General features: G+C 47.7%; 1 protein-coding gene across 1 annotated transcript; it reads right to left on the bottom strand.

Moving 5' to 3' along the window:
• Positions 1–2,716: 2,716 nt before the first annotated feature.
• LOC124901872 (uncharacterized) lies at positions 2,717–10,870 on the bottom strand. The gene is made up of 3 exons (XM_047422507.1): positions 10,815–10,870; positions 9,923–10,026; positions 2,717–3,910 (listed from the first exon to the last, which is right to left on the bottom strand). The coding sequence occupies exons 1-3, from the start codon at positions 10,815–10,817 to the stop codon at positions 3,613–3,615; spliced, it is 405 nt and encodes a 134-aa protein (XP_047278463.1). The 5' UTR covers positions 10,818–10,870; the 3' UTR covers positions 2,717–3,612.
• Positions 10,871–12,390: the final 1,520 nt, after the last annotated feature.

The raw sequence follows: 12,390 nt of genomic DNA, 5'->3' as shown, positions 1-12,390 counted from the left end.
GGCAGGACATGAATTTCAGTGTAAATGCACCCTCTTCATTCTGAGTGGGGCTCTTTATGCTTTTCTGGAAATGCTTGATGCATTGGCCCTTAATTCCTCATGTTCCCCCATGGCATTTGCCCCACACAGTGTCCTCTGTGCTTTCCCTGAAACTCCTGCTTAGCTGGGAAGATGGAACCCATCCGAGTGGAGCTCCGTTAACGCCCCACATTTCTCATTCACTTCCCCATCTACTGTCTCCTGCTCCCACAAACACCCATCTCCCTGCCCGAGCACCTTTGACTCTCCCTGCGTCCTCCCTCCCTTCCTCCGTGGTTTACCCCACCTCACTTTCTAGATGCTTCCCCCAAGACTCCAAACATCTCTGAGGGTCCACCAGGAAGAAATGGCTCTTGGGACCCTCCTCAAGCCAAAGCCACCTTTCTCTCCCTTTCCTGCATCTTCACCAATTCCAGCTCCACCCCTTGCCTTGGCCTTCATCCTCAGGGCTCTCCCCAAACAGCCAGTGACCTCCAGTTGACACAGAATAGGTATGATCTAGAAGAAACCCCAGAGGCATCCAATCCAACCCCCCCCCCCACCGCTTTTAAGGTTGACGGAGCTGGAGGGGACACGACCTGCCCAAAATTGCAGGAGTTAGGCAGGGCTCAGGATCGGGACACTGATCTCCTTTGTCATGTTCAGAGCTCTCTCAGCCCCTAGACAGCTTTTTCATCGCAGGACCACTGACCAGATAGTTCCTCTTACGATGCCATCAAATGCCCCTGCCCAGGCTCACCACACTCTTGGCACAGCTGGCCTCCACTGTCCAAGCTCCCCCATCCTCTCCTGTCTCTCTGACTCTCCTACTCTGGCTAATCTTCTCCCCAGCCCTCAAGATGCTGCCCTCCGCCCACTGACCCCCTCCCTCAGCCAGCGCACTCCAGCCCATCACTGTACCGATGACGGCGTTGATATCATCACCCGCTGACCCCTCCCTCAGCCAGCGCACTCCAGCCCATCACTGTACCGATGACGGCGTTGATATCATCACCCAATGACCCCTCCCTCAGCCAGCGCACTCCAGCCCATCACTGTATCAGTGAGGCCATCGATATCATCGCTTCTTCTCTGCAATCCAAGGCGTGGTGCCAGTTCTCTGTGGTTCATTTTCTAGGCTTTGCTGTTGATATTCAAAGCCAAGCTCAAGCAATATCTTGTAGCATTTTGGCAATAATTTTTATTTTCTTTTTTTATGAAACTTGGGATCTAACTATCTTGCTTAAGCTGGTCTTGAACTCTTGGGTCAAGTGATTCTCCCACCTCAGCCTCCCAAGCAGGTGGAATTACACGTGTGAGCCACCGCACCTGGCCATTTCTGCAATAACTGCGAAATCAGAGACTACAGAAAGACTCCTTGCTCCTTGAATAGTAGGAGAAACAGTAGAGGCAAGAGATTTTTAAATGATTTACTATCCAATTATTAGTTTGCCACATGTAAATATTTTCATAATTTCCTTTAAACAATATCTACTTTTCTTTTTAGAGGACAGATTCACTAATCCTCTTCAAATTCTTTTTTTTTTTTTTTTGAGATGGAGTCTCACTCTGCTACCCAGGCTGGAGTGCAGTGGTGTGATCTTGGCTCACTGCAATCTCCACCTCCCAGGTTCATGCAGTTCTCCTGCCTCAGCCTCCTGAGTAGCTGGGATTACAGGTTCATGGCACCACACCTGCCTAATTTTTGTATTTTTAGTAGAGAAAGCGTTTCACCATGTTGACCAAGCTGGTCTCGAACTCCCGATATCAGGTGATCCCCGTCCCCCACCCGCCGCCACCACCCTCCGCCTCGTCCTCCCAAAGTGCTGAGATTACAGGTGTGAGCCACTGCACCTGGCCCCTCATCAAATTCTTTAGCCTCCTTCTAAAGGAATTCTTGAGTTAAAGCACCCCTGTTGGGTTTTGTGCCAGACACTGGATACAGTAGAATCTACTTGACAATTAGCGTCAAGATTCTTCTGCTCACCGAATCAGTAGCACATTTTTTAAAAAACCGAATCCTCTTTTCACAAGAGTGACTTCTGTCTGGATGTAGCACAGGTACTAATGGCATAACACGTGGCTAGCCTGTGTCGGGAGAAGCTAGTCAGAGAAATCTTTTTCTTTCTTTTCTTTCCCAAATATCTCCAAGTTGGTCCTTGTGCAGAAAAGGGAAAAAGCAACTTTAGGACCTGTTCACTGCATCGTAATGAGAGATAACTATAGCACTTTGTGCAATAGTGTCTAATGATGTTATTTAAAATGCCATATTTGTAAGACTTAGCCACTTTCAAGGTACTTTTTCATCATGCTTTTGCCATTTCACAGAAAGATACTATTTTGAAAATTTACATAATATCTATGAATGCAGGTGGAAAATAAAATGCATCATTGAGCAGTCCTTCAAGAAGGACAGAGCAGTCAATGTGAAGGAAAACCCGTGATTTCAAGTCGAGCAGGCCTGCTGCTTGAGCACCTACCTCTGGTCAGGGATCCGTGGCTCCGTCTCCCCCTCCATACAGTGGGCCGGATGCTAGCATCTGTCTTGCAGGGAGCTCATAAGCAGTTTTCAGATTATATAAGTAAAATGCCCACCGTGGCATTTGCCATACTAGACTCTAAGTACATATTAGTTTCAAGAAAAGAGAAAGAAACTAAACTGAAATACTATAGCAGTTGATGCAAGAGAAACTTCAGCTGAATTAAATTTAAAGTTTAATTGAGCAATGATCGATTTGAGAATTGGGCAGCCCCCAGAATCACAGCAGGTTCACAGAGACTCCAGCACAGCCAGGTGGAGAAGATTTATAGACAAAAAAAGGTGGGGGGGGGGGAATGATGTACAGAAATTAGAAGTGAAGTATAAAACAGCTGGATTGGTTACTGCTTGGCGTATGCCTAATTTGAACACTCAGCAGTGTATGGTTGGTTGAGTATGGCCACTGGGGTTGGCCAAGACTTAGCTATTGTTGGAGGTGCATACTACCAGGTTATGTTTGCAATTTTGTCCGCCTATTAAGCTAGGTTACAGTCCATCCGCGAGGACTCAAATATAGAAGTATGGAGTCCTTCTCAGGCCATATTTAGTTTGCTTTCACAGTTAACGTGCTGCTGGATGTTAGTCTCTTCCCCTCTCTAGATTGTCCATTCCTGTGTACCCATCTCCACATCTCCACACTCACTGCATGGTAGAGCCTCAGGTTCGAGCCACCACTTATGGCCCTTTGTACAAGTCAGAAAGGCTTCCCTTTGTGGGTGGATTTGAGCTCCCCAGACACCTGCTGCAAAACACAGCTCACACAATTGTGCACAGTGGCCCCTGACTCTTGCAGTCTCACTTAGTTTATAAGAATGCTCGATGTTAGTGCTCACTCAATCCCTTCCACGGATCTGCCCATTCTGTCATCTAATCAGCTGGTCTCATGCCGTTCAGGTAGGTAGTTACCTCTGGGGCTTAATTTTCCACCATGTCCCCAGTGCAAAAGGCCTCCATGGAGCCTGGGATCTTTGCCACATATTCACAAAAATAGGCCTTTGAATTGCTCCTGGTGGAGGTCTGGATGCCAGTGCAACACAGTCGTGTTAGCTGGGACCCTAGCAGACCTTAGGAAGAATGACATCAGCTGGAAAAACTCTACAAGGAGCTGTCACTGTGCCAAGTTGAACAGTTTTGCCAGGAGGAGTGAGGAAGCAATTACTCTGAACTTGATTGAACACAGGAGGCATCTCAAGTGGGTGCTCCTGCAGCTGCAGGCACTTTTCCTCCTGTCCCTCCTCCCAGCAGCTCAGCATGCATCCTGTCTCCCGGCCACGGGACAAGGCTGTGAGCTGCAGCTTTGTGCACTCGCTGTCTTTGCAAAGTGTTTTGGAAGTTCTGTCAATTCGTCTTGGCCTGGAAAATGGAAAATTGGAACAGTGAAAACACATCAAATGGTGCCTGTTTCGTGCTTGGGGAGGCAGACAAGGAGAAACTTCATGCGGTCAAGGTGTGGGTGGCTGTTGGCTTAAAGCCAGTGGAGAGCTTATTTATCCCCTTGGAGGAAGGGAAGAGCAGATTAGAACTATCAAAGCTTCTTAATATTAGCTCTGGGTTTTTGGTGGAGGGTGGCAAGTGGAGGGAGGAGGGTTAATTATACGGCTGACTGTAAGCAAGCAGAATCTGATCCAATCGTGGCTGTCATTGATTGAGCCAGGTGCTGTGCTAAGGGTATCACGCGCATCAGCTCAATCTAATCCTTGCATTGCTCTTATTATTTCCATTTTACAGATAACAAAACTGCACTTTAGAAAACTGAGGGATTCAGCCGGGGACGGTGGCTCATGCCTGTAATCCCAGCACTTTGGGAGGCTGAGGTGGGTGGATCACGAGGTCAGGAGATCAAGACCATCTGGCTAACACAGTGAAACCTCGTCTCTACTAAAAATACAAAAAATTAGCCCGGCGTAGTGGCGGGCGCCTGTAGTCCCAGCTACTCGGGAGGCTGAGGCAGGAGAATGGCGTGAACCTGGGAGGCGGAGCTTGCAGTGAGCCAAGATCACACCACTGCACTCCAGCCTGGGAGACAGTGCGAGACTCCATCTCAAAAAAAATAAAAAAGAAAAAAAGAAAACTGAGGGATTCACCCAGCATCCCAGACTGGCAGTTGGCAGAAGCAGGCGTGGAATGGGCTCTGTCCAGCCTGGTGCTCCTATCTACTCCCCCACCCCACCCAAGCATCTCCTAAGGCTGCTTCTGGGGTGCCTCATCTCCCAGACACCTTTTCAAGGGTTCCTTTACCCACTACAGACCCTGCACTCACTCTCCTCTCCAAAGTCCCCCGCATTTCCCCGGCCACGCTTTGCTGATCTTTTGACTGTGCTCAGGAATCCTCCCCACCTAGGACGAAGCACTTGCCGAACCCAAATGCACACACAAATCACCTCTTGCCACCAAAACACTGGCTGTCAACTGTGCTTCTCCCATACCAGGAAAGGGTGCCAATTATGCAGATGGTGTTAGCAATGTTCCTAACAAAGACGGTAGAGTAAGGTGATAGTATTTGGCAAATTGGAGAATCAGGATGTAAAACAAAGATTTGAGCATCTGCACCCTAAAACATAAAATGTTGATACACGTTTTATAAAAGTGCTAGTAATGGGATCCATTCTCATTATGATGCCATTAGGGCCTTTCACAAATATTACATGGAATTATTGTACTTTCTGTCCCCTTTGAAGTTAGGCCTGGCCATGGGACTTGCTTTGACCAATGGCATGTGAAAGCCAAGGCTGCACATTGCCTCTGGGGGCAGTTTTGAGAGTCTTTGCTACCTTTCCTTTTCCTGGGACAGCCACCTTGGGAGTACATGTTGCAATGGGCTTCCTTAAATGTGGGTCCCTAAAGGTTGTAATAATCCTTAGGGATACCTTGCCAGCCCCTCTGGCCTGGTAGCTGTAGCAAACCAACAAAAACAAAGATCAAAAAGCCTTTTTTGTTCATTTTCTGAGACAGAGTCTTGCTCTGTTGCCCAGGCTGGAGTGCAGTGGCACAGTCATGACTCACTGCAGCCTTGACCTCCCAGGCTCAGGTGATCCTCCCACCTCAGCCTCCAGAGAAGTTGGAAACTAGAGACATGCACCACCACACCCGCTAACCCTTTTTTTTTCCTAATTCCTGAGATTTTGTGTTTTTTGGGGGAGTTTTTTGTTTGCCACCATAACATACCTAGCCCACCTGATTAGTACTATCATATAGACACATTTATTCAAATATGTAAACAAATTTGACATAATTCAAAGATGATATATTTAAATACGGTGTATAAAACATTGAAAATAACACTTAAATTATCATACTGATTTGCTAAAAGTCTTCAAAAGATTTGCCAAGTTTATTCATTGGCTTCATTTTAACACAAAAATTCAATTAAGGAGATAAATTTTAAAACTATGAGGAGCTGCTTAGTAATTCTATGGATGTCCATTCTCCTGGTTCCTCTGGGCTCAGGCAGGGTTTCTGTACTGCATTGGTGCGGAAGAGCAAAGTGCTCCACAGTGCCCCTATGCAGATGAGAGGGGATAGCACACACAGGGAGGGCTTGGTGTGGCCAGCACAAAAAGGTCATCCACAGATGCAGGAAAGAAGTTGGATAGAACAGGTGCACTGGCTCTTACGTGTAATCCCAGCACGTGGAGAAGCCAAGGTGGGAGGATCACATGAGCCCAGGAGTTTGAGACCAATCTGGGGAACCTCTATCCCCCTGTCCCTCTAAACATAGGAAGGTAGGCGGGGAACGGTGGCTCACGCCTGTAATCCCAGCACTTTGGGAAGCCGAGGCGGTTGGATCACTTGAGGTCAGGAGTTTGAGACCAGCCTGGCCAACATGGTGAAACCCTGTCTCTACTAAAAATACAAAAATCAGCCAGGCATGGTAGCAGGTGCCTGTAATCCTAGCTACTCGGGAGGCTGAGGCACGAGAATTTCTTGAACCCGGGAGGCAGAGGTTGCAGTGAGCTGAGATCGTGCCACTGCACTCCAGCCTGGGCAACAGAGCAAGACTCTGTCTCCAACACAGTGAGACACATGCAGGAAGAGGAACAAAGGAGTGGATGGTGGTGTGGAAGTTCCTCTTGGATTGCTCCCATGGGATGGTTCATTTTCTGGGTCAACTTGACTGGGCTATGGGAGTCCAGATAGCTGGTAGAACTTTCTTTCTGGGTGTGTCTGTGTGGGCGTTTGCAGTGGAGATGGGCATTCAGATTTAGAGACTCAGGAAAGAACATCCACTCTCACCAATGTGGACGAGCATCCAATCCACTGAGGGCAGGGATAGAACAAAAATCAAAGGAAGGGGGAGTCCTCTCTCTTCTTGAGCTGGGACATCAACCTGCTCCATTCCTTGAACACTGGAGCTCCTGTTTCTCTGACCTTCAGACTTGGACTAAATGATACCACCAGCTTTCCTGTGTTTTCAGCTCGCAAATCGTGGGCCTCCATATGAACCAATTCCCATAATAAATCTGTTTTTCTGGAGAACCCTGACTAGTAATTACAGTTTTCTTTTTTCAATGAAGCAAAATTCGAGGGTGTCAGCTGAGTGGGATGATGGTGGAGGAGGTGCTAGACCAGTTTGAGGAGCACGTCCTGGGAGAGGGGGCAGTGACTGGACCAGGAGCATCTAACATGGTTTCTGGGCTGGCTCAGGGGCCTCCGGGGTTTAATGATCGAGACCTTATGGGGAACTGGTCACCATGGCTGTGCAATGTGCCCCAGCCTTGTGGGGTTAAGCAGGTGCTGAGTGGAGGGTGCATTTACGTGGGGACCTGACTGCTGCGCTACAGGGCACTGGAGAGGAATTCGAAGCAGCAACCTGAGTGGCTGCTATGGGATTTAAGCCGAGTCAGAAGGGAGGAAGTCAAAGGGTGAGGAAGAGTGAAAAGGAGCTGAGGCCAACCCACTGCAGGTCCCCAAATGTTGAAGGATTGTTGAAAGCAGGGTGGTAGCAGGAGTGAGCTGGAGAGAAAGAAGCTTGACAGTGGGATATTGGACATTGGGATTTGGAACGATTGCATTTATTACAGTAATAAGATCAGGCTTTAACCACTAGCATGAGTGGCTGAGTGGGGAGGGGGACAAGCCCACCAGGAGAAAGGGCTGAGGCGGGAGTTCAGTGCGTCTTCTCCATTCTGTGTTCTGTTTTGCTCCTGGCGCTCACGGCAATTCATCATAAGAGATTTGCCTGTGTGCTCAGTGACTTAAACAAGTAAGCCCCTCAAGAGCAGGGGCTGTGTCTGATTTATAATAAACTAGCATGGCATGGAACACATAAGAAAGAGTTTGGTAAGGCCGGGAGTTGTGGTCACGCCTGTAATCCCAGCAGTTTAGGAGGCCTGGGCGGGCGGATCACGAGGTCAGGAGATCGAGACCATCCTGGCTAACACAGTGAAACCCCACCGCTACTAAAACTACAAAAAATTAGCCGGGTGTGGTGGCGGGCACCTGTAGTCCCAGCTACTTGGGAGGCTGAGGCAGGAGAACGGCGTGAACTCAGGAGGCAGAGCTTGCAGTGAGCTGAGATCGAGCCACTGCACTCCAGCCTGGGTGACAGAGCCAGACTCCGTCTCAAAAAAAAAAAAAAAAAAAAAAAACAAAAGAGTTTGGTAAATAATTGTTCGTTGCATGGATGAAACTCCACAAAGGTAGATTAGTGGGAGGCAATGGTTTGTCATTGTTCAATAATTGAAGAATTATTTCATCCTAACAATAATAGACTCTGTTAGAATGAAGAAGTTAAAGCCTCAGAAGGCAATAGCAGTTTTTAAAATCTGTTTGAGAAAATGAATGCTAGCTGGACTGGCCGAATCACGTTCTCCCATCTTGCTAGTGACCTACGTTGTCCTCTGGAGACAGACATAATATATTTTATATCAGTTGTACAATGCTTAATGTGTATATATGTATGTATATATACATTATGCATCCATATATACATAAGCATTGTACAACAAAACTTCATATACCTTTTTTCCTTACTTGTAACCCCCTAGATATTTTTATTACCCCATTTTATATAAAAATGCATGGAGGTGAGAAAGAAGAACTTTCTGCAGATCACACAGTCTGTAAAACAGGATTTAAAACCAGGTTTTCTGACCCTGAATCCAGGGCTCTTTGAGCCATGTTGCCCATGCAAAGGCTAAATTCTGTTCATTCCTGGAGCCGTAGTACCAGTAATGGTAATGGATGGGTATCGTACCAGCAAGGTTTTCCAGTGGCTGGGGTTCAGAAAAGCTCTGGTTATATCAGACTGACCTTCATGTTTTCAACAGGTCAATGCCTTTTGCCGCTGGGACTTCAGGGCAATGAAATAGGAAGTGCGCCTGACCATCACGAGATGTGAAGGATTCCATGGCCGTGATTCCCATATTCAAATGGGATTTTCCAAGTGGAAAGACAGCAGTCACTTAAACACAGGCCTCAGAGGCCAATAGGACCCATCCCCGCAGCTATGCAGACATCACCCATGGAAAATTAGCCTGCATCAGTTTGTCCGGTCCCGGGAGGGGCATTCTCTAATGGTTTCGTGGCTGCAGCAATGGAGCAATTCTATTTCACGCTGTCCCAAGAGAGGCCTTCCAATGTAATGACTCCCCACAGTTGTAATTTTCCTTTCATTCATTTGCTTCCTTACATTTGGGGAGGTTTCTTTTCTAATGAAAAACTGAGCCAAAAAAAGAAAAATAAAACAATTCTTGCTTTTAGCCTAAAGTTGATAGTTTTCGACGAAAAAACCTCCCTGTTAAAAATTTACATTGGGCATATACCCAATAATGACATTGCTGGTCAAATGGTATTTCTGGTTCTAGATCCTTGAGGAATCACCACATTGACTTCCACAATGGTTGAACCAATTTACACTCCCACCAACAGTGTAAAAGTGTTCCTATTTCTCCACAGCCTCGCCAGCATCTATTGTTTCCTGACTTTAATAATCGCTATTCTGACTGACATGAGATGATATCTCACTGTGGTTTTGATTCATCACACACTGGGGCCTCTTGAGGGTTGGAGGACAACGAGAGAGAGAGCACTGGGACAAATACCTAATGCATGCAGGGCTTAAAACCTAGATGATGGGTTGATGGGTGCAGCAAACCGCCATGGCACATGTATACCTATGTAACAAACCTGCACATTCTGCACATGTATCCAGGTCTTAAAGTTAAAAAAAAATCTACATTGATTTCCTGGGACTTCTTTGAGTGAGTTCTATTGTCTTCAGATAATAATTGCAAACTTTATTTAGCACACGATGTGCCAGACATGATACACTCTTTCACTTGATTTTTCCAACAAGCCACAGGAAAAGGACTGTTACCGTCTCACATTTTGCAAATAAGAAAACCAAGGCTCAGAGAGACTCACCCAGTAGTAGCAGGGGACCTCAGGCTCTGCCAAAGACTCATCTGGCTCCAGAAACAGCTCACTCGGCCACAGAGCTCTTCTATCCTCTGCCAGCTTCGATCAACCTGGAAATGGACACACTTTACTATTAATAGTAAGCCCAAGAATAATGATCTAAGCATCATGTTCATATGTGGGACTATGCATATCCATAGAGACGTGGGCTCAAACCACGTTTTAATAACATTCCACAGCACATTTCTTCCCAAGACCTTCTTCAGACCTTGCCATGTGCATTCAGGAGCATTATTTCTCATCCTGTGAAAGCAAAGGAATGACTGGAAAGAGAGTCATGTGGGACATTTTCTCCATGTCTGTGGCTTCTGAAATCCCCAAACACCACAGGACTCAAAGGCTTGGGGTGCTGTGATGCCCCTTCTCTGCAGCTCTTGGACACCGTCTTTTTGGTTTGTGTTTGCAGCAAATATCTTTCCTTGGGTGCCCAAAGAGAAAGCAGAAATACCTGTTTTTGCGAGGAGCAAAAACCGATTCCCCCACCATGTGTCGGCTCCATCTAAGCCATTTGTTGGGGGGACATCCCTTTCTCCTCAGAAAGCCCCCAGTCATGCAAAAGACAGTCATAGATCGATGGGAAGGACTGACCCAAATTCCTGGGCTGTGAGATTGGGGAAGTGTGACATGGTACAGATGTGTGTCCCCTCCAAGCCTCATGTTGAAATGTGATCCCCAATGTTGGAGGTGAGGCTTGGGGAGAGGTGTTTCGGTCGTCGGGGCAGATCACTCATGGGTGGCTTGATGCCGTCTTTGTGATAGTGAGTGAGTTGTCACTCTGAGTTCAGGCGACATCTGGCTGTTTAAAAGGGACCCCTCCCGCACTTACTCCCTCTCTCACCATGTGAAGCGCCAGCTCCGCTTGCCTTCCGCCATGATTGGAGGCTTCCTGAGGCCTCACCAGAAGCCAGGCGGATGCTGGCGCCACACTTCCTGTAGAGCCTGCAGATCTGTGAGCCAACGAAGCCTCTTTTCTTTATAAATTACCCAACCATGGGTAATCTTTTATATTGACACAATGACTCACTGACACAAAGTGTGTGCCCTGGCAGAGAGTGAGATCGATGATAACAAACAATACTCCAAACACCCACATTTACCAGTCGGGGCCATTTTTCCTCCCCAACGGGCTCCTCCCTACGTGCAGCCACCACCTGTCTCCGAACCACCTGCCAGATACAGTAATGAAGCTTCTGGGCTCTCGGCAGGGGCACTGACTCAGCCTCAGAGGATGGACCTGAGAGATGGGGACAGTCTAGCCCTATCCTCTGCCCTGCTGGCAGGGAGACGCCCGCAGCTGAGGCACCTCGGACCGAGAGCGGCTCTCATGCGCTGGGGAGTTGCTCTCCATGCCGATGGGAAAATTGAGTTCTGTTCTCACAGCAGGCAGTAGGCAGGAGCAGAAACCGGGAAGGTGGAGGATGGCACCAATCACCCCTGAGTGAAACCAGGACACCCTGCTCACAGCTCGTCTTCTAAAGCAGGGCCAGAGATAGAACTGAAGACCTCCAGCCTGATGGGGCCTGGCTGCTGGGCAGTGACACTGTCCTCCCGAGAACCTGTACAGGACAAAACCACGGACCCGTTCCCGTGAGCAGGACGCACATGCGTGCGGTGTCTGTAGTTGTTGCTGCTTTTGTTTTCTGATCTTTGTATTAATTTTTTATTTGTATAAATTTCAGGGGCACAATGCTATTTTGTTACAGGGATATCTTCGATAGTGGTGAAGTCTGGGCTTTTAGTGTATCCATCACCTAAAAAATGTACTTTGCACGTATTCAGGAATTTCTCATCATCCGCTTCCCCCACACCCTCCCACCCTTCCGAGTCTTCAGTGTGTGCAGTCCGCACGCTATGTCCCGTGTGCACATCCCTTAGCCCCCACGTATGCCTGAGCTTTGTATTCGAGCTCACTGCTTAACAACTTGGATTGGTACCTGGCTATTCAAAAGCTAAGCTGGCAGCTCCTTGCTCGCCACTAGATGGTGCCAGATCCCAACTGTGGTCTGCAAGAGCTTCACCCATTGGAAGGGGCCTGTGTCCCACTTTAGCCGGGAGGCAGTTTAAAGGAGAGAAACTAGAAGGGAAGTCAAACCCGGAACATTTCAAAAGGAACTAGGAAAAAAGGGCCAAATATAAGTGTACTAAATTTGGAAGGCAGTCTAGGAAAAAGCTGGGTGCCCAAATAATTAGTGGGTCACAGAAGCTGGCCTGTTTCCGTGAGAATCATCACAAGTGTTCCCCCAGCCCCCAACAAAACGCAAAAAGTGTGCATGAATCCTGGCACCCCCAATGAGAAGCCTTAGAACAAGAAGCAGCAGCTCATGCACTGGACCCACTAGAGTGCCAAGGGCTGCCCACCAGCTCCCTGATGCCCTCATGCCCTCTCTCCATATTGAGTCACTTTTTTTCTTTTT

This window comes from Homo sapiens, chromosome 8, assembly GCF_000001405.40.
Source record: "Homo sapiens chromosome 8, GRCh38.p14 Primary Assembly".
Taxonomy (NCBI): Eukaryota; Metazoa; Chordata; class Mammalia; order Primates; family Hominidae; genus Homo; species Homo sapiens.
The sequence above is the reverse complement of the archived record's forward strand: the minus strand, read 5'-3'. Positions and strand labels throughout refer to the sequence as shown.